The following is a 25,020-nucleotide window of genomic DNA, read 5'->3' on the forward strand; positions in this document are numbered from 1 at the left end:
AATTTCATGTCTCTTACAATTTCCCTTCAGATCAGTTCTGCCAAAGATAAAGCGATCTTCACCTCTGTGAAAAACAGTAATTCCTTTCTCCATGATGTTCATGATTTGGTTGATGGGTTATTGGTTCATCGCTGCAATTATAATTGAAGGACATTGTCTTTGCTGGTTTGGTGAAGCTTCCAGATGTTATTAGAAGGGGTGTTCCTTTAAGCTCACCCAGCATTCTCTCACTTATAGCTGGGCATTAGCTATACAAGAGCTATTTGGTCTCTGAGAGCAAAGGTTCAGCCACTAAGGAAGGACCTGGTGTCCAACGTAGGCCTTTAGATTATTTCTGGAGCTTGTCTCCAGGGCCTAAGAGGTGACTCTGGCAGGACACCATCTGTTTCAACCCTATTTTTTTTCTTCTTTCTGCCTCGGCAATCCTCTTTTTTTCTTTTTCTTCCTTTGTCTCTTCTCTCCTTTCTAGTGTTCTGATGTTTTAGGATCAAAATAATGAAAAAGAATAGAAACCATTTCAACTCAGAAAATAATTCAAAGATGGGAAAAAGGTGTGTACCAAATTCATTGCTCTAATCATTTCTGTTCTGATAAAAGGAGTTTACAGCAAAGGAATAACTTTTCTGTGTCTCTGAGGCTTTGGAAAAACAAGGCATCAAGAAGCTTTGGGGTGTGGTGGGTGTGGTGGGGCAGCCTACTGCTTGTTGAGGTAATGCAAACTAAGGAGAAAGAGGTGTTAGCTTCCTCCGAGGCCAGGGCGTTTTAGGCTGCAGGTAAACCATGGATGTGGTTCTACAGATGTTGCCACAACAGGAAGACAAAATCTCACAGCTAACAGAGGTCACAGCTTTTGGAAACAGTGGTTGCGACACAGAGGAAACTCCCCCTCCCAGCCCTACCCCAAGCACATCCTTGCTTCTCTCAGTCACGCCAGTTACACCAACAGGGGCAGCTCTGGGGAGGACATTTGGAAAATAGTCAAGAGAGGGTGAAACCGCTGGCATGATGTCACCAACAAGAGGCTACCCCCTGGGGAAACCTAACAGGAAAAAGGTAGTTGAGCCAGGAAAAGCCACCAGACCCTTTCTCTTGGCTTGAGGCATCATATACATTTGAATAATAATCAAATTAACAATGTAATATGACTGTTTAGCAACAATGATGTGCTAATCATGGTTTTACATGGATTATCTTTAGTCATTAAATTCTCTACATCCTAGAGATGCGGAAATTGAGAATGAGAGAGGTTATGAGAGCTTTGAAAGGCCACAGAGCATGTGTTGTGGCTGAGATTCAAGCCCAGCTTTACTGATTTTAAAGCTTGTCTTCTCTTTCCCTCCCTTGCTTCCTTTTTTTTTTTTTCAATTTTCTTTCTTGCTTCATGTGCTTTTTTTTTAAAGAAATAAAATGTTACCCCCTCATCGATAATCCCTTTGTGTCTCTGCTGTCTGCCCTGTCCCACCCGCCTGCCATCCTTGCCAGCAGCAGCCTCTCAATTGAGGTTAGAGTTTCTCTCCCACCCTTCATTATGCATGTTCATGGCTATAAACAATCAGTATGCATGTTTTAAAAATTTACGTATATGAGAAAGAGCTTAAAGTATTAATTTACGGAGAAAAAAATACAAATGGCTATTAACCATCAGAAAAGATTCATTAAAAAAAGAGTAATAAAAATTCAAACCACATTGAAGCTGGGTGCAGTGGTGCATTCCTGTAGCCCTAGCTACTTAGGAGGCTGAGGTGGGAGGGCGGCTTGAACCCAGGAGTTAGAGGCCAGCCTGGGTAACACAGTGAGACTCCGTCTCTAAAAAAAAAAAAAAAAAAAAAAATTCACTAAAAAAACCCCCTTCACATTGAGATAGCATTTCAAAAATCTGCCAAATCGGTCCATACCCAAGATTTGATAACAGTGTATAGAAGCGGCTGAGGGAAAGACGCACTTAAACTTTGATTGTGGTGAGTAAACTGGTATAATCTCTGTAGAGGGCAATTTGACAACATATAACAAAAATGCAAATGCACAAATCTAGGTGTGGTGGCTCATGCCTATAGTCCTGGTACTTTTGGGAGGCTGAGGTGGGAGGATTGATTGAATCCAGGAGTTTGAGCCTGCAATGACCTATGATTGATCCACTGCACTCCAGCCTCGGCAACAGAGTGAGAAACTGCCTCAAAAAAAAAAAAAAAAAAGCAAATGGCAAATGCACAAAATTATAAAAGAAATCCCATTTCTTATAATTTATCTATAGATAAGTATATGTTTACACATGTTCAAAACTGCATGTGTTCAAGGTTATTCATTGCAGTATTGCTTGTAATAAAAAGACCAGAAATAGTTCACATATTCATTAACAGGGAGTGATTAAATAAGTATGGTGCATCGTTGTAACGGAATCATATGCAGTTGTAAATGAGAATGAAGGCACTCTCTGTACTAATATGGAAAGTTTTCAAATACATGTGAAGTGGAAAAAAAAGCAAGATGCAGAAGAATATATATAGCATGCTGTATTTTGTGCTAATGAAGGGGAAAATAAGCCTATGTATTAATTTTTTTTTGCATATGCATAAAGAAACTGAAAGTTTACATGCAAAACCTAATAGCAGTTTTGCATGTGGGATGTGGAAAGAGGGGCGGTATGAGGTATGGGAGAAGATTTTTAAATATATTTCTTAATTTTTTTTGAGATAGCCCATGTGGATGGACTATGTTACCTATTCCAAAAATTAAATTAAAAAGTTAAAGTGGTTTTATGCTGTACAAGTGATTCTGTAACCTTTTCCAATCAGGTTTATTTTATTTATTTATTTATTTTGAGACAGATTCTCGCTCTGTCGCCCAGGCTGCAGTGCAGTGGTGCCATCTCGGCTCACTGCAAGCTCCGCCCCCCAGGTTCACGCCATTCTCTTGCCTCAGCCTTCCGAGTAGCTGGGACTACAGGCGCCCGCCTCCACGCCCGCTAATTTTCTGTATTTTTAGTAGAGAAGGGGTTTCACCGTGTTAGCCAGGATGGTCTCGATCTCCTGACCTCGTGATCCGCCCGCCTCAGCCTCCCAAAGGTTTATCTTTCTGAATTTTTATCCGTGTGGTTGTGCCCTTGATTTTTCCATTAATTATGCTGCCTTGAACTGTAGAATTTTACAGCTGGAAAAGCTCTTGGAGAACACCTAGTTTCCAGCTTTTATATTACAGGAAAGAAAAATGAAGGTGCAGCAGTGGCAAGTAATTACTGAGAGTAGCTCAGCAAGTCAATGGCAGAATTGGGGGTTTGGCCTCAGACCTGACTCTGATTCAGAGGCTGGGACTGCCTTTCTTCACCCCATCCTCAACCAATGCCAAAGCCATCTGCCGAGTCTTAAGAAGAGATTGGTAACTTTACATGTTATCCTTTCCTAGGCACATTTGCATTCAAAAACAAAACAAAGATAACAACAGACAACAAAACCCAGTGGTCACTGTTGCAACTGATTGTTCAGACCTCAGAAGTCAGGGAGATGCTTTGGGATGAGAGATATGGGGTGGGATGGTAATAGTGGTTGGGCCGGTAGTCAAGGACACGGTAAACTTTCTAATATCTCCATTCTCCTACAAAATACATAAATCAGTTAAAGGAAAAGAAAAAGGCAAATAAAACAAAAAACAAAAAACAAAACAGCGAGGTTATCACTAGTTCATTCATATAAAGATTGTTTCTGTTTTCAGCTCAGGAAGAACTAATTTGAATTTTATATTAGTGATGACATTGCTATGAATATTATTAATTTAACTAGATCTTATTAGACTTTTTGTTGCCATAGTGACAATACAGGCACTAATAAGCCACAGAGTATGAGACCTCTGCAGGCAGAGTCATCTGGTGTATCTCTCCGCCTACATGCGGAACTCCTCTAAGCCGTTCTGACGGGTAAAGACCTTTTAGGATTTATGTTAATAAATAATGCCAGCCCTTCTGGAGTTCTTATAGTCAAGCACCGTGCCAGAAGTGGCAAGAATACAAAGACTCAGAAGAAATGTACTTCTGAGATGGCCAAATTCCTAGGCAGATAAAAAGGGGTCCCCGGAGAATCTCCGACTGGCCTGCTCACTGGGAGAACGGGGTGGAACCAGGGGGAGTTCACACTCTTTGCAGGAGGGAGGAGTCTGGCCTCTTCAGTTTCTGTGTGGTGGCCTGGTGTTCAGGCTGTGAGATGGGAGCCCACTGGCAGAATTCCTTCTTGCTTTGCTGAGAGTTTCTTTTTCCTTTTTTCCTTTTTGCCCAACAAATTCCTCTCTAAGCACCCTTCAGTATGTCCGCGCGCCTCATTCTTCCTGGTTGTGTGACAAGAACCCGGTTTTAGTTGAACTAAGGAGCAAAATTCTGCAACACTTCCACCACAAATTAAATAGCATACATGGGTGTTTTCTAAAATTTTATACAAAAATATTTCACTTATGTATTATTATTATTATTATTATTATTTTTGAGACAGAAGTCTCACTCTTGTCCCCCAGGCTGGAGTGCAGTGACGTGATCTCGGCTCCCTGCAACCTCCGCGATACTCCTGCCTCAGCCTCCCGAGTAGCTGGGATTACAGGCGCACACCACCACCCCCCGATAATTTTTGTATTTTTAGTAGAGAGGGGGTTTCACCATGTTGGCCAGGCTGTTCTCAAACTCCTGACCTCAGGTGATCCGCCACCGTGCCCGGCTATACAAAAATATTTTTAACAGTAAAGGAACAGAAACAATGTGTAGAGGCCTCCCTATGCTTGAAATTTTGGTCACATTTGGAATTTTAACTCATAATTTCATTCAAAATGTTGGATTCTACTCCATAATATAAATGTGTTTGCTTTAATGTCTATTAAATGTCTACATGTATAGTCTGTTAACTATTTTTTCTTCCTAGTCTTCTAGTAAAATTGATGCTCCAAGAAGATACACAACGTTGACCATGTGGATTCAGATATCTCCCGCTTGGATCTCAGCCTGGATCTTGTTGTTTGAGAAGCATAGATTAGCTACAGGTTGGTAAACTTTTTTGTAAGGGCCAGATAGTAAATATTTAAACAGTATAATGAGCCACACTGTTCCCGGACAGAACGAGGTCCTGCTGTCTGTTCTCGCGGTCCAATAAGGAGATGCAGACAGACTGGGAAAGAAGGGAGTTTATTTCTGCAACTGGTTACAGGGAGAAGGTTGGAGTAACTCACCAGACCAACTAAAATTAGAGGTTTTTCTCTAGTGCTTATGTTGCTGGAAGGAGGTCCCAATCCAGACCCCAAGAGAGGGTTCTTGGATTTCATAGAAGAAAGAATTTGAGGCGAATCCATAGGGTAAAGTGAAAGTAAGTTTATTAAGAAAGTAAAGGAATAAAGAATGGCTACTCCATAAGTAGAACAGCCCCAAGGGTGGCTTGTTGCCCATTTTTATAGTTATTTCTTGATGACATGCTAAACAAGGGATGGATTACTCATGCCTCCCCATTTTAGACCATGTAGGGTAAAGTCCTGACATTGCCATGATGTTTGTAAACTGTCATGATGCTGGTGGGAGTGTAGCAGTGAGGACGACCAGAGGTCACTCACATTGCCATCTTGGTTTTGGTGGGTTTGGGCCGGCTTCTTTACTGCAGACTGTTTTATCGGCAGGGTCTTGATGACCTATATCTTCTGCAGACCTCTTATCTTATCCTGTGACTAAGAATGCCTTCACCTCCTGGAAAAGCAGCACAGTAGGCCTTACACTTACTTTATCTAGCCCCTATTCAAGATGGAGTTGCTCTGGCTTAAATGCCTCTGATATGCCTACATGTGGGGCCTGGGGTCTGGAAAATTACTTCAGAGGCTTGCAACAATTACTTAATCTAAAGTAGGTCCTGGTACAAGGTGTGCAAGAACACCTCCATTATTTTAATTAAACTCTAAGGTCTGAGAAAGCCCAAGTGCGGTCTTAATGGACTTGTTTTCACATTCTAACCTTTGTACTAAGGCACCAGTTTCTCCAGTTCTTTAATGTTTTACTTATATGTTCATCAGAGTGACAATAAGGTATTGGTGAAGGCTAACTGCTCTGGTGGCTAATGGAGACCTGGCCTGCCACAACACTGTTTCTGTTACATGCCCTCAACCCAGCCATTATAGCAAAAAACGGCCAGAGATAGTATGTAAATGAATTGGCATGGGTGTGTTCCAGTAAAACTTTACTTATAAAAACAAACAGATTTGGCCAATGGCCTGCATTTGGCCTGTAGGCTGTAGTTTACCAATCCCTGGATTAGAAAATGCCCCAAGAGTTCATAAAAGGGAAATTTTTGGCCGAGTGTGGTGGCTCACCCCTGTAATCCCAGCACTTTGGGAGGCTGAGGCGGGCAGATCCTGAGGTCAGCAGTTCGATACCATCCTGGCCAACATGGTGAAACCCTGTCTCTACTAAAAATACAAAAATTAGCTGGGTGTGGTGGCGCACGCCAGTAATCTCAACTACTCGGGAGGCTGAGGCAGGAGAATGGCTTGAACACGGGAGGTGGAGATTGCAGTGACCCGAGATCGTGCCACTGCACTCCAGCCTGGCGACAGAGTGAGACTCCATCTAAAAATAATAATAATTAAAAAAAGGCAAGCTTTTTCAGCTGGAAAAAATAAGGACGAAGAGTGGAAGTGGTAATTCTATTGGTTATTGAAGGCTGCACAGTATTTCAAACAGCAGAGAGGAAATGTCAGCATTATTGGTAGAGAACCAATATAAGCAAAGGCAAATGTCTTGGGGCTTATATGTAGATGGCAGTGGGGGACAGGGAGGACAGTAATTAGATCAGTTTGACTGAAGGAAGAAACTCGTGTCAAAGAGAAACATTCTAAATCATCAGGGCTGGAAGAGACTTTGCTGATCATTTGCTTTTCATTGTACAGATGGGGAAATTAATGTGGGCGATTTCAGATCTGGAAAGAATAAAGAGTGGCATGCCTCGAATACTGTCTTAGTTCGTTTTGTGCTGCTATTACAGCATGCCCAAGATGGGTATTTATAATGAACAGAAATGTATTGGCTCTTTCCTGGAGGTCAGGAAGTCCCAGATTGAGGGGTGACATCTGTCAAGGGCCTTTTTGCTGCATCATCCCAAGGTGCAAGGGCAAAGAGAGGGAGGGAGAGAGAGAAAAGGGGACCAAACTTACCCTTTTATGGCAAACCCACTCCTGTGATAATGGCATTAATCTATTCATGAAAGGTGGATCCTCATGGTCCAATCACCTCTCATTAGGCCCTGCCTCCAAATACTGTTGCATTGGAGATTAAGTTTCCAACAAATAATTTTGGAGGGCACATTTAGACCATGGCATTCTGTACCTGACCCCCAAAACTCATGTCCTTTTCACATGCAAACTACATTCATTTCATTCCAATAGCCCCAACATCTTAACTGTTTCAGCACCAATTTAAAAGTTCGAAGTTTAGAGTCTCATTTAAATTAGATATGGGTGAGACTCAAGGCACAATTTATCTTGAGTTAAAAGCCCTCCAGCTGTCAGCCTGTGAAATCAAACAGATTATCTACTTCCAAAATACATTAGTTGAATGAGCATAAGATAGACATCCCCATTCCAAATGGAAGAAATAGGAAAGAAGCATGGAGAAACAAGTCCCAGGCAAGTTCAAAACCCAATTAAGATGAATAATACTGAATCCTAAGGCTTAAGAATAATATTTTTTCACTCAGTGTCCTACCTTTTTGTATAATGGGTTGGGGGTTGGTCCCCTAATGCCTTGGCAACCCTGCCCCTATGGGGGGTTAGGGAGAGCTAGGCCTGTGCAGCAGCTCTCAGGGGTTGAAATCTCATGCCTGCAGCTCCTCCAGGCTGTTATCTCATGGTGGTGACTCTACAGTTCTGGGGTCTTGGGGGTGGACTTACCCTCATGGCTCCACAAGGACTAGTAGGGACTTTCTGCAGTGGCTCTGATCCCAGAGTTCTGCTGGGCATTGCCCTAGTGGGGGCTCTCTGCGGTGACTCTGCCCATGAGAAAAGTTCTGCCTGGGCCTCCAGGCTGTCTGAGACATCCTTTGAAATCTAGGTAGAAGAAGCGATGTTCCCACAGCTCTTGCATTCTGTGTACCTGCACACTTAACACCACACGGATACTGCTAAAATTTGCCATTTGGGGTGCTGTGCCAGGATTCAGAGAGCAGAGACTTGACCTGGCCTGGAGCCAAGGCCCCGTGGATGCCCTAGGCCTTTCTTTTGATGTATTTTCTTTTTCCAGGCGTTGTCATTCTGAGCCTGCAATAGGAAGGTCTGCATCAGTAATCTCTCATGTGCCTTTGGGGTCATTCTCCAGTTGTACTGATGAATAACCTCCAGCTTTATTCTATCCATGCTAATCTCCTTATCAAATGGTCCTTTGGGCACATCCTTGGTTTCCTAAAAATTTTTTTTCTCTCAAAAAAAATCTTTTTTTATTCTCTACTATATAGCCAGTCTGAGAGTCCTCCAAATCTCTATTTCTCTTTTAATTTTAAATTCTGTCTTTAAATAATTTCTTTTTCTTGCATTTTACTCTATGCAGTTAAGAGAAGCCATGCTGCTCCTTCAGTATTTTGCTTAGATATTTCTTCCACCAGACACCCTAGTTCATTGCTCTTAAATTCTGCCTTCTGTAAAGCTCTTGAGCACGCACACAATTCAGCCAAGTTCTTTGCCACTTAACAAGGATGGCCATGACTCCAGTTTTCAATAAGGTATTCTTCATTTCCATCTGAGGCCCAATCAGTATGGCCTTTACTGCTCATATTTCTATGAACATTCTGATTATGATGGCTTAAGTAAAGTTTCAGACTTCCTCTATAGCTCTCCTCTTCTTTTGAGCCCTTACCAGCATCATCCTCAAAGTCCATTTATAGTAATTTTGGCTTTTTCTAGCCTGCTCCTCCAAATTCTTTCAGCTTCGTTTAATTACATAGTTGTGAAGCTGCTTCCACATTTTCAGGTATTTGTTGTAGTAACAGCTCCACCTCTTAGTGCCAATTTTCTTTCTTAGTCTGTTTTGTTCTGCTGTAACAGAATACCACAGACTGGGTAATTTATAATAAACATAAATCTATCAGCTCATGCTTCTGGAGGCTGGAAAGTCCAAGATCGAGGGGCTGCATGTGGTGAGGGTCTTGCTGCATTTTCCTATGGCAGGAGGGCAGAGAGCAAGAGAGAGAAAGAGAGAGAAAAGGGGACCAAAGGTACTCTTTTATAAGGAACCCACTCCTGCAATAAAGGCATTAATTCATTCACGAGGGTATAGACTTCATGGCCTACTCACCTCTCATTAAGATCCACCTCCTAACACTGTTGAGTTGGGTATTAAATTTCCAACTCATGCCTTTTGGGGGACACATTCAAACTATAGCAAATACTAAGTTAAGGAAGTTTCAGCTCTGTCTGGCAGCCTCATAATATTTCAATGCTTCATCATTTGAATGCTTATTAATTAACCAACTTCCTGTATGCCATGTGATCAGATGTCACAAGAGGAGTTCCTTTGGGATGAACTTAGTTCTTTGTGCACCATTGTGAAGTAACACTGTAGTGATGGTGACAAGACACATCTGGAGCAGTTACCTAGACAAGCACCAAGTATTAGAAGCCTTAGTGTTTCAATTTGCCATCAACTTGCTCTGCAAGCCCAGACCAAACCCTGAGCTTCCCTCTGGCTTTCTCTTTGGTTAAACAAGAAGCCTTTATCTTCATCTCTCCATCAGAACCAGTGGCCTGCTCCTCTCTCCCTTCTCTGCTTTCATTGTCCACCAACACTGAAGTCATAAATGACTAGAGGGAGCTGGAGTGTGAGGGTCCAGAAACTTGTATGATCCAGGTATTCGTTTATTGATTTTTTTTCAAGTAATTAGTGAGCATTTACCATGTATGAAGTGCTGAGGATAAATAATGAGCAAGGCAAGCAGGCTTCTGCCCTCACAAAGCTCATATTCTAGTCCTGCGTATGTGTGTTGGTGGGGGAAATGTAAACAATATACAAGTAAACAAACAAATGAAAGAATTTCAGATGGAGATAAGTGCTATGAAGTAGAACAAGGTATTGTGATAGTGACTAGAGCAGTGCCTGTGGCTAGTCTAGTGAGGGAAGACCTCTTTGAGGAGAGACGTGGATGTTGAGAAGAGCCAAAGAAGAAGCACTCCAGCCAGAGAACCCTGAGTATGCTGTGTTGGGGATACAGAGAGAAGGCCTGTTGACTGTGGGTTAGTAGTCAAGGGGAAATGCATGGCAGACAAAGAGAAAGAGGTGGACAACACAAAGAAATCAATGAGTTTTAATCTGGTCAATTGAGTGACTGGACAATTGCTTCTATTTTTAAAAGAGCGTTCAAGCTGTTACCTGTAGAATGGTTTGAAAGGGATAATAGTAGAAAAGGTAAGATGATAGGCAAGGTTGTCAGGCACAGTGGCTTGTGAATATAATCCCAGCTACTTGGGAGGTTGAGGCAGGAGGATCACTTGTATCCAGGAGTTCAAGATGAGCCTGAGCAACACGGCAAGACTCTGTCTCTTTAAAAACACAAAAAATTAGCCAAATGTGGTGGCATGTGCCTTGAGTCCCAGCTACTCAGGAAGCTGAGGTGGGAGGATCACTTGAACCTAGGAGTTCAAGGCTTCATTGAGCTATGATCATGCCACTGCACCCCTGCCTGGGTGACAGAGTGAGACTATATATATATATATATATATATATGGCTATTTCAGTAGTCCAGGTGGGTGCCAAGATCAAACATCACAGTGGAGACTGAGAGAAGTGGCTGGATTTAGGATCTGTTCTGGAAGCAGAAGAAACAGGACCTGTTGAGGGATTGGATGTGATGTCCTTGGTAGTGATGGTAAAAGGAAAGCAGAAATCAAGGATGACTCATTAAGTTGGAGCTTGAACAACTAGGTCGGTGGCGTGCCTTTTTTTTCTTTTGAGTGGAATGTTGAGAGATGAACAGTTTGAGTGGGAGGTGTGGTAGTCCGTAGGTCTGTTGTGGGTGTGCTAAATTGGAGATGCCTCTGAGACTCCAGGTAAGGATATGCAGTCGGCATGTGGAAGTACTTTTCTTTGGTGTCTCCAGTCTTAAAGGATTAGCATTCTCTCTAACACTCATATAATAATCCCAGCCTTGATTTGTTCGACCATGTATTTTATAATATTCCCTCCCCCCTGGAATTTCTGGGACTCCTTAGAGATATATTGATTCAATGGGATCCATCCTAGTTTCTGCATTTCACCTCTGCCAGCCATCCTGCCCCCACCTCTGTTCAACCCCTTGCCACTACCTGGCTCCCTCTGCCCACCTACTTGGCCCCACATGGTCATCTTTAAGGGACTGATATATGCTGTCAAATTAGTCTTCCCAGAGATTAAGCCATTTGCATTCCCATTAGCAGGGCAGGATTTGTCCATTTCCCCACATTTTCACCAATATCAGGCACTAGCCAGTTAGATAGATGGTAACACATTTCAATTTGCATTGCAAAGATATGCTCCTGAACAGCAGAGTATTCTATGTCTGTAAATAGAAACACAGAATCAATTCAAGTGCCCAGAAACCACATGCAATTATTAGGGAATTTCAGGATGCAGATGATAACAACAGTTAACATTTGTTGAGATCTCGTTATGTGCCGGGCACTGTACTAAAGCACTCTGCAGGTATTATTACAACGTCTTGATAGGGTGGATGTTATGATCAGCCTTCATTTTCTAGATGTGGAAACTGAGGCAAAGGGAAATTAAGTCATTTGTTCAAGGGGCAGAGCTGGAATTCAGATCCCAGGTCTGTCAAAGCCTAATCCCAGCCAGCCTTCCTTCTGTTGCTCCAACGGGGAGTCCTACTCAAAACTGTTCCTGGTCCTGTATGACAGCATTGATAAGACTCCTGGAAATTTTTGTTACTTCCTAGCCTCCACTTTCTACCTTCCCATTTTCTCCTAATTTTCTCAATCTTTGTTGGGGTTTTCTCCTTCTTGACACCTGGCCAATATAATCCTGCAGGATCCTCACTCAACAAAACATCCCAGTCATGAGTGGGGCAGGTAAGGAAAGCCTCCCGCAGGTTTACAGGGTTGGGAGGGGACTCCCTGGCAGGTAGACCGCCATCTCCTCCACCTCGCTTTCCTACTCACAGGAGTGAGGTAAACTTTGTTCTTTCCTGATAATAATAATGAGATAAAGTATATTGAGGGCCTACTGTTTGTGCATGCACTGTTTTAAGTACTACAACTACCCAATGGGGTACTCACCATGATAGAAATTTTATGTGCATATTGTAAAAAATGTGAATAATAGAGTATCTAAAGACTGCCACTGCTAAGATATTGGTGTATTCCCTTCCAGTATTTTTGCCTAACATAAGTATTTTTAATATTTTTCTAGAATGCCATGTCATACATCCAATAAAATTCAACTCTGCAAGCATGAGAGAGAAGAGGAAGGAAAAGAGAGAATCTGAAGTGTGAGTGATTCTGTTTACCATTCCACAGAGTAAGTGGCTGCCTGGGAGTGTGTGTGAGATGGGAGTGGGAGAGAATCTTCTGTTCTTCCCTTGGACCTCAGTTCCACGGAGCTTTTCAGCGTGTAAAACATCTTACCATGGACATTCTGGGTTTCGGTTTAAAAAGATGTATTTTTGGTTTGACACAGTCTCTCACTGAAACCAGCTGCTTCAGCTGACAGTCAAACTAAGAGTCAAGGATTAACTGTACAGTTAGGGACACAGCAGCCATGGCAAAACTTACTGAGAAATGGCCATCTCCCATGTAGCATTCTGCTAAGGGATTTCAAGGGCATTTTGACTTTTGACTTTTTTACCTGGCACGCTGACTTGGCGAGCTAACCCCTGTGCAAGATGCCACTCAAGAAGCCACTCCGTTGTTTATAATTAAGACAGCAGGTGAGGTGGCCCTGTACTTTGAGATTTAAACAATAGTGACTTAAGCTCTTTCTCCTGTTTTCTGTAGGAAGTCCAGCATGCTTACTGAGACTCCCTCCATCCCTGGGGCTGACAGTCCCGTGGGTTTGTTCTGGCTCTAGGTGTCCACCCCCGAGGAGCTCTGAATTCACAGTGTCGCATGAAGGGACAGCACCCTGCTCTCCCTGTGCAAGGCACTGAGCTTCATGTCAAACTTGGCCTCTGTGTTTTGTTCCCACCAGGCCCTTCTCCCAAGAAATGTACACGTAGCAAACTTTACTCAAAGTGTGAGGACTCAGGAGGGATTTTAAAAAATCATAAAAATGCCGAGTTTAAAATTAGATCGTATTAGTGTTGTTTTCCTTAGAAGGAAGAAAAAAAGTTTAAAAATTAAAAAAAGAGATAAAATTAGATCTTATATATCTCTCTCCTGGAAAGTTCCTTAACAGCCTTGCTGTAGGGGAAATGTCTTTCTCACCGAACACTTTTCTTGGAAGATTCCGGCCTTCCACCTTGTTGTTTGCCTTCTCTGTCTGTAAAACATTCAAATTCTCTCATTTATCCTAGAAGGCAGTTTAGCTCTACAGCCCCTACACAGTCCTAGACCTCCTTTCTGTATCTACTATTAAGTACCATTCACACCAAGGGTCACCTACTCTGAGTTTCAATCATTATTAATAAAGAAGGGAAAGTGGAGGCTTTGAAATTCCCATATTTTCTTCATGTCTCTCCACCAGTCTTTGTAAGTGAAATAGAGGCTGATAGAGATTTACTTTCTCATTGATATTAACTATGCTTCTCCTCTTAGAAGACAGAGGCATCTGTAGTCAGTGTCAAATATTTCCCACCCTACCATATATATATATGAAATACATGGATTATGTTCTATGGACAATTGGGTATCTTGTTTGTTTTAGTTACTATTGCTGTATAACAAATCATTCCAAACTTACAGGTTAATCAACAACAATTTATTATGCCCACAGATTCTGCAGATCAGGGATTTGAGAGGATCATGGTGGAATCACTTGTTTCTGTTCCATGATGTCTGGGGCCTCAAATGGGGAGATACAGAGGTTGGGGATGGCTTCGTGGGTGAGGGCTAGAATTATTAAGAGGGTTATCACTTACATGCCTGGCAGTTGATGTAAGTCATCAGCTGAGATGTCAGCTGGGGACATCCACTGAAATACCTACTCATGGCCTGTCCATGTGGTGCCTTAGGCCTCGTCACAGCATGGTGGCTGGGTCCCAAGAGTGAGCATCTCAAGAGAGCAAGGTGAAAGTGCATGACATTTTAATGAGTCAGCCTTGAAAGTCACATAATGTTAGTTCTGCACTATTCTTGGTCAAGGCAGACACTGAGATCTGCCCAGCTTCAAGGGGACGTGGCAAAGACCCCATCATTTGATAGGAGGATCGTCGAGGTCACATTGTAGTGAAAGCCTGTGAGACGAGTGGTGATGTTTCTGCCATGTTGGAAAATGCAATCTGCTACACTGCTCTTTTCATTTAACATATCATACCATTAAAATAATCCATCAACTCTGTGAATACATCCATAGAACTTATTCATTTACTAGTTCCTTAGTATAGGACTTTTCTCATCACTTCCCCATAAGAGAGAAGAAGGAGGTATGGTTATTTTCCTTCCCTAAAACCAAGAGAGAGAGGCCCAAAGAGAATTATTTGACAAGTGGGATTCCTATTCCTGCAGTGTCGACTCCATTAATTTGGGGTCTGTTATCTTTCCTTTGATGGTTTTTGAGTCTTGGACCAGCAGGAGCACCTGAGGCTGCTTAGGACATGGATATAGGGGTCTGTGGCTTCTCAGGTGTGTCAAGGACACATACATTTCTCCTGGGTCGAGGGAACACCTTAGGAAGTGGGACTTGAGCTGTTCTGCCATTATTCCCCAAGTGGGTTTCCCACTGGATGAGATACCCCTGGTAGAAGGAAAGTGTGGGGAAGACTGTGGTTGGGGAGGAAAAGGAAAGGAAGCAGCTGGAGCCCTAGCCAGGCCACCCATGTAGGTGAATATGCAGGGGATGGCCCTACGACATTCTCCAAAGAACCCAATGGATGAGCCCCATGAAGGAGCCACACAGCAGGAGTCAAAGCTCAGTCTGCATTATCCAGGAACCAGTGACCACTGAAATAAAAAGGATCAGCTCCTCATCATAAGCAGCTAAATGAGGAAACATCTCTGTCCTTCCCTCTTTCCATCCTGCCCCAACAGCAGAGGGCATGCGCATAGGAGATGGCGTGGTGAGAAGAGACCATCCTCTTTCCCCTACAACCTTTAAGCAGCTTAGAAACTCAAGTCTAGGTTTGTGTATGTGTTTGGGCGTGGTGAGGAAAAGAGAGTCATTACAAGAAAACAAGTTTCAAGTTTTGAAATGCATGGGACTGAGTCCTACAGAAACAAAAATGTCACTGAATAACCCTTAATAACTGGAAATAAATGGAATTGCACTAAGATGATGTCAAGCACCATTAAAGAGGATTTGAGAACACACAGTTGGTGGCAATTCTGTGTTTGAAACAGTGGTAAGCTGAGACTCCTTGATAAACTAGGTACAATTGTAGTTATTGGGTATCAGCCTTTTTTAAAGACTTAATTCTTAGCCAAAATGCCCTTCCAGGAAGGCTGTACTTTTCCCAGCTCCTTGAAGATGCCCACTTCACGGGATGACATTTATTCAGGCCTGGAGAGGTGCAATCTCATTATGTGGGTCATTAGAGCAACACATTAAAGGCGACAAAGGGAGTGTCGCCAAAAGACTTTGTAGCAAGTTATGTGGAAGTGAGCAAGAGAACACGACTGCCTCACCTCTTGGGGGTGGCGAAGGGTTATGTTTAGATGGGGTGTATATGAGTGTCTGGGGTTTTTTACTCATATTGATGGCCAAATTATTTTCCCCTTCTGATTCCCTTTGAGAATCCACTTCACTACCTGCTTCTTGCTGCAAACTGGGAGTTGTAAAATCAGAGAGTCTAGGGTGTCACCCGAATTGCCCTCATGTATGGCATAGCTGTGTGTGTAGAGCAGAACGAGGTAGGGAGGAAAAGTCATGCTGAGCTCAGGCTGAGAAAGAAGAGGGAATCAGAAAGATGGGCCATTTGAAAGCAAAACTGCCTTGAAATCTCTAATAGGCTCTGTCTTGCAAACAAGAAGGGGAAGATAGGGTGAGAGGGGATGTTAGTTTTTAGCAACTGTTTTAAAACTGACAACAGAGGAAGAGAGACCAGACCACAAAGTTAACATTTGCAACTTAGGCATCATTTGATTGTTTAAAAAAGTCCCCAGTCTTAGGAGGGGCTGTCCTTGGGTGAAGGGTTCTGTTTTGAACTGGAGGGAGATCTGGGTGAAGCATGGATGAAGTATATACTCCCTTCCTCAAATCACTCTCCATCTGCATCACCTGATGCTGGAAATCCCCAGGATTAGCTTTTATAAAGTTTTGGCTACATTATGAAGTTCATTTAATGCCTTCCACAATGGCGTCTCAATTTACAGGTGAGCTAACTGAGGCTTGGAGCAGTTAAGGCAATGAGTGTAAGTCTGCGCAGCTGGTGAAGCACACAGCCCAGGATTTGGACCTAGATCTGTCCGATTCTAAATTCTTTCGATCACACCAGTGGCCCCAGCAGATGCTCACTCCTTTAGATTAAGTACCCTCTCCGTCAACTGCATTACACAGTTTCTTAAGCAAATAGCATGGAGGCTCAGACTATGAGCTTTGGAGTCAGTAGGGCTTGAATTTAAATTTTGACTCCAGCCTTGATCATTTATGTGACTTTGGGCACACAACGCAAAGTCTACTCAAAAAAAGCTGTGAGGAGGATGTGCAGCACAGCTGTGGTAAACACTCTACTAGATTATTATTATTGTTATTATTATTATTTTGAGACGGAGACTCTCTCTCTGTCGCCCAGGCTGGAGTGCAGTGACACGGCCTTGGCTCACTGCAGCCTCAACCTCCTGGGCTCGAGCCATTATCCTACCTCAGCCTCCCAAGTAGCTGGGACAACAGGTGCATGCCACCACGCCTGGCTAATTTTTGTTTTTTAATTGAGATAGAGTTTCACTATGTTGCCCAGGCTTGTCTCAAATTCCTGGGCTCAAGAAGTGATCCTCCCACCTCAGCCTCCTAAAGTCCTGGGATTACAAGTGTAAGCCACCACGCCTGGCCTATTGTTAATTTTTAAAAAGCTGTTGTCTCTCTTTGATCCATAAGTGTGTGATAATAGAACAGGAGGGGGACAGTTAACAATGATCAGAACACTAGCTAACACTTCTTGAGCACTTAGGATGCATCAGACACTGTGCGAATTGCTTTCCATGGTACTATCTTAATCTTCCTAACAATTCAACGATATGTACCATTAGTCAACCTCAACGTATAAATAGAAAGCACATCCAGCTACAGGTAGAGGAGCCAGGATCTGAACCTAGGTGGGTGAACTCTGGAGCCTGTGCTTACACCAGGAGGTAAGCTTGCAGGGGCCCTGCGGGACTTTGGGAGTAGATGGGGATGCTTAAGGAGGGTTGAGTAGGAGGCTGTGGTCCTGGGGTAGTGTGTGGGCTTTGGGCATTGGAGGGTGGGGAAGAAGGTGACAAGAACGGGGTGAGATAAGGTAACCATGGAGTGGGGATTTGGACATTTGAAACAGTTGTCACCTGTAGGATGATGTCTTAGTTCATTCTTGCACTGCTATAAAAGCACACCTGAGACTAGGTTATTTATAAAGAAAAGAGGTTTGATTGGCTCACAGTTCTGCAGGCTGTACAGGAAGCAAAGCAGCTTCTGCTTCTGGGGAGGCCTTTGGAAGCTTCCAATCATGGCAGAGGGCAAAGGGGGAGTGAGGTATTTCATGGGGCAGGAGCAGGAGCAAAAGAGAGTGAGAGGAGGAGGTGCTGCACACTTTTAAACAACCAGATCTCGTGAGATCTCACTCACTGTCATGAGAACAGCACCAAGGAGATGGTGCTAAACCATTCATGAGAAACTGCTCCCATGATCCAGTCACCTCCCATGGGGCCCCACCTTCAACACTGGAGATAATAATTCAGCCTGAGATTTGGTGGGGACACAGATCCAAACCATATCGGATGGTTTCCAGGGAAAGGCATTTGCATCTGAATCCCAAAGGCGAATCACAGACTGTCAGGGCTGGGAGTTCCTTAGACATGGTCTAGTCTGATGGTCTTTTAAACTGTACATATGGAAGCTTAGAGTCCGTCAAGGGTATGAATCGATAGAGGCAGTGGGATGGAGGCTGAGCAAAGGGGTCTTCAAGACCTTCTGGTTTGCATCAACCAAAGTCGTTCCATTTCTCTTTTTACCCTTTTTGTTGTTGTTGAGGTACAGCTTATATATAATAAAGCACACGAATTTCAATTCATGTGATGAGGCTGGGCATGGTGATGCATGCCTGGAATCCCAGCATTCTGGGAAGCTGAGGTGGGTGGATATCTTGAGCTCAGGAGTTCAAGACCAGTTTGGGCAACATGGCAAAACCCCAACTCTACAAGAAATACAAAAATTAGCTGGGCATGGTGGCTCATGGCTGTAGTCTCAGCTACTTAGGAGGCTGAGGTGGGTGGATCACTTGAGCCCGTGAGGTTGAGGCTGCAGTGAGCTTTGATTGTGTCACTGCACTCCAGCCTGGGTGACAGAGTGAGGCCCTGTCTCAAAAGATACATGAAATAAAATAAAGCCTGATGAGTTTGTATAAACTTATGCACCCATGTAACCACAGATCAAGATAAAGAATCTTTCCAAAGTCCCAGTAAGCTCTCTCTGGTTCTTTCCCATCAGTGCTGTCACCAAAGAGAACCACCATTTTCATATTATCTGTTTTCGAACTCATATAAATGGAATCGTAGAGCATGCGTTCATTTTGTCTAACTTCTTTTGTTCAAAATTATGTCTGGGAGATTCATCCATGTTCTAGCATGTAGGAGCCGCCCACCCTTTTTCATTGCTGTGTAGTATTCTGTTGTGTGACTATACCAGAATTTATTTAGCTTTTCTGCTTTTGATGGACATTTGGGTTGTTTCCATATTTTGATGTTATGAACATAGCTGCTATGAACACTCTTGCACAGCCTTTTTGGGGAAAAACGAACACATTTCTGTCGGGTATATACCCAGAGTGGTATTGCAGGGTTACTGGGTGGCTGCATGTTTAGCTTTGGTGGGTAGGGCAGCTCTATTTTTGAACAGATGTTTCATAGAGTAGGAATCCTCATGTAAGATTTTGCCTGGAGAAAGGGTGTGATTGCTTACATTTTTCTTTACATGGAAAAAGTTTCAATTCCTGTAGTGCAATCTTCTGCATTTACAGATGGTGAAACTGACACTCAGAAAGTGATTTGCTCAGACTCAAACTGCGGTAAAGCCACAGCCAGATCACTAGACTGAACATTTTGTATTGACTTTCAAACTCTGTGAAACAGATCCTAAATATCACTCAAACTGGTTGCTGGTCAGATGTGGACAGGAACCCATAATTAGAGTCAGAAGCCTTGGGTTCAGTCTCAAAACTCTCACTAACAAATGTGTGAGTCAGGGTGAGGCACTGCTGTGGACCTCCATCTCCCTAACAGGGAAATGGATGTATTTGCTTCACAGCGTTGCTGGATGGAAGGAGGTAATGATGGGGAGACATTTTATAGCTGGGAAGCTCTTAGCAAATTGTTATTATCATTATCAAAATGTATTCTAAGGGGATGCTTGGGCAAGCATGCTGTTTTCTTGTGGTATGAATGTTTATTCACTATTTTCTGTTTTATATTTTAGCCTGAGTTAATAGTTTTTAATGAACATTTCTTCCCCCTCATTAAAGAGCTAGTATGGCAGTTAGTATTTTCCGGAGATAGCCACACCAAGTATAGCCCATCCTCCATGCTGCTCTTACACTGGGGACATTTTTATAATGAGACACACCTGCATTGAAGCGGGGGTCTGTGTTTCCTCCCCTTGAACCTGGGCAGGCTTTTGTAACTGCCTTGACTCACTGAAAGTGCAGAAATGGCAGTGCGCAAGGAGGAATGCAGAGTTAGAAAGGAAAAGTCTAGATTTCGGGGTGTTTCCTGCAGAGAACAGAAACCCTCCCTGGGAGGAGACACTGCTGTGGCTTTTACTTTTCTGGTTTTACACTGTGGTCCTATTCACTTTTCAGATTTCTTCATTAAAACCTTCCCCCAAAGAGGAAAGCCTATGTCTAGGAACCACCCTGACAAGTTAAAGCTGAGGTGAGAACTGAGTGCTCCATAGCTTCCAATTCAGGCAGAGTTTTAGTCATTTTGGGGGAGCCTGTTGACTCTGGGAGAAAGGCCTAGAGCTCAGATTATCCTGGGGTTGTGGGGGCTGGGAACAGGAGCTTTGAGTGACAGTATACAGGGGAATAGTGACAGCTCCCCTTTGCCTGAGGGGCAGATGGACTCCTAGCACCCAGAACCCTAGACGCAGAATGGCGCCCATGGGGGTGAGTGGTCGAGAGGCACACAGAGAGAGCTGGATTTCTGCCCCTTGACTTTCCCCTCCCTGAGAGCTCCAGGTTTCCAAGAAAAAAGGTCCTCACCACAGTTCTAAAAATAATAACTATCTTGGCTGGGCACAGCGGTTCACACCTGTAATGCCAGCACTTTGGGAGGCTGAGGTGGGAGGTTTGCTTGAGCCCAGGAGTTGGAGACCAGCCTGGGAAACATAGTGAGATCCTGTCTCTACAAAAAATACAGAAAACTTAGCCAAGCGTGGTGGCTCCTACCTGTAGTCCCAGCTACTCAGAAGGCTGAGGCAGGATGATTGCTTGAGCCCAGGAGTTGAAGGTTACAGTGAGCTATGACCACACAACTGCACTTCAGCCTGGGCAACAGAGAGAGACCATGTCTCAAACACATACATTCAACACATACATACATGCCTTATATGTGCAAATCACTTTACATACTGGGAGGCAGTTTCATACATGTGACTTTTTTTTATTTTTCCAATGACCCTGTAAATAAACCAGAGAATTGTATCATCGTCATCATCATCTTAATGTTATGTTTAAATAAACTGAGAGGGTGAATAAAGGCTTCACCCAAGGTCACACAGTAGCAGGTGGAAATGCCAGTGGGAAAACCAGGTATTCTGGCTTCGTGAGTTTTCTTTCATTGCATTGCATACTTGATCCGTGGAGGGGTGGGAGTTTGGGGCACACAGCAGATCAATGGCAGAGCTAACTTGGGGGAGAGGCACCTTTCACCCCTCAGATTGCCCCCAGAAGGTAGCTGTCTCTTTGGCTGGCAGCATGGTGTTGATTCTATGTGAGAATAAAATGTCCTGGGCTGGCCACCTCTGCCCCACCTTTGTCCCCCTACCTCCACCACCCCATGACTCCCCAGCCCCTATCAGAAAAGAACCATTCTCAGTCATTTACACCCTCATTACCATTTAAGGGCTTATGCTTTCTCTTTTAGCAATATTTGCTTTTAAATCTTATCGCTTATTATGATTTTTGTCTCCTGGAAAACATGGTTTCTGGCATCAGTAAGCTGATAGAAAAGCATTATCTCAGGGGCAGGGTGGGAGTGAGTGAGAGAGATTTTATAGACACCCTCCTCGTGTGTCAGCAGATCCTAGCTACTTGAATCACAGCAAGTCACTTATCAAATATCTGAGTGCTGGATGCCCGGGACAGAGTGATGAATAGAAAGTGGTCCATGCAGGTGCTGGGATACAGCATGAAGAGAGTGCAGTTCATGGCAGGGGCCACAGACTGGTGGGCGAGACAGGCAAGGAAGCAAGTAATTATGATCTGCTAAGTGCTACTATAGCTGTAAGTGTTCAGGGTGCCTGGGAGCATGAAGTAACTGGGGTCGGAGTGGGGTGGAGGTGATGTTGTTTGGCGGAATCTGGAAAGGTAATAGAACTTCCCTTTATTGAATATCTTAGTCCAGATACTCTAGACAAGCAAATCTGAGGGATCGTGTGCTCAAACCAGGGCAGGAGTGTGACCTTAGGGAAGAAGGCATGAGGGAAAGGGCGTGCGGTGGTGAAGGAGGAGAGTAACGTGAAGGAATGTGTTACGGTTGTGACCACCGTTCTGCAGCAGCCCTGTAGGCTACTCCATCTTGCTGGACAGTCCCAAGAGGTCTTACGGACCTCTGCCGCCTGAGCAGGGCTCTACAGGAGGGCAAACACCTCTTCTGCTTTTTTCCCATTTTGAGTCCCCCAGTAGCTAAGCTTGCTCCATGGGGAGTCACCTTTTGTGCATTTCTAGTTTGAGTCACATGCCCTGCAGCTGGCAAGTCTGGGGGTGATGGGAACTGCCAGAGATGGCTGGTGTCAGCCATAAGGGCAAGCAGAGATCTAGCAGCCAAGATGCCAGCAGAGACTATAAAAGGAGTCTCTTTGAGATGTCGGAGCATTTGCACACAGTGGATTGTCAAATCCTCACAATGGCCCTGTGTTGTTCATTGAATTGTGTACCCCAAAAAGATAGGTTGAAGTCCTAACCCCTGGTACCTGTGAATGTGACCCCATTTAGAAATAGGGTCTTTGCAGATGTAATCAAGATGTGTTTAAGATGAGGTCATGCTGGAGTAGGGCAGGCCCTTAATCTGATATGAATGTTATCCTTTAGGAAGAGAAGAGATACAGAGGCAGGTGCACATAGAGAGGAGAATGCCACATGAGGACACAGATGCACGGGTGAATGCTCTGTGATGATGGAGACAGAGACTGCAGGGGCACATCTACAAGCCAAGGAATACCAAGGACTTCTGGCAACACCAGAAGCTAAGAGAACGGTGTGAAATGGGTTCTCTCTGCGAGCCTCTAGAGAGAGCATGGCCCTGCCAACACCTTGATTTTGGACTTTGGTTTTAGAAGTGTCAGAGAATACATTTCTGTTATTTTAAGCACCCCCGCCCTTTATGGTACTTTGTAACGGCAGCCCCAGGAAATCAAATGAAACAAGGATCTTGCATTTTCACAGCTAATAATTAGAGGAGCTGGGGTCTGAAGCCAGGTTTGCCTGTTGCTTAGATTTGATTTGAAAAATGGTGAAGGCTTTGCAGGGGTGGGATGGGGGAGACCAAAACATGTTCATGTCTGTGGGTAAATTGTAGGTGTATATATTTTTGAGGTACATGAGATATTTTGATACAGGCGTGCAATGCATAACAATCACACCAGGGTAAATGGGGTATCCATCACCTCAAACATTTATCCTTTGTGTTGCAAGTAATCCAATTCTATTCTTTTAGTTATTTAAAAATGAACAATTATTATTATTATTTTACTATAGTCGCTGTTGTGCTAGCAAACACTAGGGCTTATTTATTCTTTCTATTTTTTTGTACCCATTAACTATCCCCACTGACTACCCTTCCCAGCCTCTGGTAACCATCCTTCTACCTCTATCTCCATGAGTTCAATTGTTTTCATTCTTAGCTCCCACAGATAAGTGAGAACATGTGATGTTTGTCTTTCTGTATCTGGCTTGTTTCACTTAACATAATGACCTCTGGTTCCGTCCATGTTGTTGGAAATGACAGGATCTCATTCTCTTTTATGGCTGAATAGCTCTCTATTGTGTGTATGTACCACATTTTCTTTATCCATTTGTCTGTTAATGGACACTTAGTTTGCTTCTAAGTCTTGGCTATTATGCATAGTGCTGCAATAAGCATAGAAGTGAAGATAACTCTTCAATATACTGATTAAAATAAAAAATTAAAAAACAAGGTGGTGCTCCCTCACACACACAAGAGAGCAGCTCTGTCCAATACAGAGGCCTTGTGGCTACTGAGTGCCTGAACTGTGGCCAGTCTACACTGAAAGGGGCTGTGTGTGAAAAATACGTACTGGGTTTAGAAGACCTAGCACAGAAAAGAATGTAAAGTATCCAATTACTAATTTTTAATATTGATGACATATCAGAATGATTATATTTTGGATATAGTGGGCTAAATAAAATATATCATTAAGCTTCCTTGCACCTGTTAAAAAAAGCAACCACAAGAAAATTATAGTCACATATGTGCTTGTGGGATTTCTGTTGAACAGCACTGCTCTGGAATGTGAGTTCTTTGAAGGCAGAGACCATCTCTGTACTGCTGACTGTGGTCCAAGAGCCAGAGCAGGGCCTGACATACAAGAGTTTCTCAACACATAATTGTGGATAATTAAATGAATGAATAAACGAATGACCAAATCCAATCCAACTCTGAATCTGCTCGTCTGGTCCCTGTGAACATAGGATTGGATGTAATTTTCACCTTGCCTTGTCTCTCTGGGCAGTTCTTCAATGGCTGAGGCTTACAGAGAGAATGCATGCCGCACAGTGCTAGCTAATGGAGAGGCTGGATGTGTGGTGGAATTTGGAGAATAAAAATGGCCAGAGTATTTCCAACCACAATGGCAGTGACCACTTACTGGATACAAATTCTGTGCCTGGCATCATTCTAGGCACATTATATGGAGTGACTCATTTTAATTCTAACAACCTATGACATCAGTCCCACCATCAACTCTATTTGACAGACAGAGGAAATTAAAGCTCAGACAGATAAAATTATGCCCCCAGGGTTACAGAGCTGTTTTTTTTCCGAGTTCTGTCTGACATGACACTTGCACTCTTCACCACCATCACAGAACACAGAGAAGAGGGGACTGGGGGTCCTGCCAACACAGGGTGACACTGAACCAGGTCTGTTCAATTCTGAGGCCCCAGCTCCTGAAAGCAGGTGGCCCCAGCCCTCCAGGATTTGGAAGACTCATTGTCTGTGTCTGGTACCGTGGAGCATTTGGCCACATATCGTCTGTGCATCTAGACAAGTCCTGGCATGCATCCAGCCATATCTTGCCCATGCATCTTCTTCACCAGATGGCGGGACCACCCTCTGTACCTATGATGTGGCAATGACTGCACAGGTGAGTGAGCATTCCCTGTGTTGGAGGAGGGGCCCTGTGGGCGGTGGTTGAATCATGGGGGTGTTCCTTCATGAATGGTTTAGCACCATCTCCCTTGGTACTGTCATCGCGATAGTGAGTGAGTTCTTGTGAGATCTGGTTGTTCGAAAGTGTGTAGC

At 43.6% G+C, this 25,020-nt stretch overlaps 2 annotated features.

The window, feature by feature from the left end:
• Positions 15,834–15,913: an enhancer, noted in NCBI's record as "active region_23547". NCBI's record gives its function as "activates an Ori minimal core promoter by ATAC-STARR-seq in GM12878 lymphoblastoid cells {active_cell/tissue: GM12878}" and the evidence as "EXISTENCE:reporter gene assay evidence [ECO:0000049][PMID:35858748]".
• Positions 24,319–24,819: an enhancer, noted in NCBI's record as "NANOG-H3K4me1 hESC enhancer chr5:158862958-158863458 (GRCh37/hg19 assembly coordinates)". NCBI's record gives its function as "activates a minimal SCP1, AML or CMV promoter by ChIP-STARR-seq in primed H9 embryonic stem cells {active_cell/tissue: H9 hESC(primed)}" and the evidence as "EXISTENCE:reporter gene assay evidence [ECO:0000049][PMID:30033119]".

Source organism: Homo sapiens, chromosome 5 (assembly GCF_000001405.40).
Source record: "Homo sapiens chromosome 5, GRCh38.p14 Primary Assembly".
NCBI classification, from domain to species: Eukaryota; Metazoa; Chordata; class Mammalia; order Primates; family Hominidae; genus Homo; species Homo sapiens.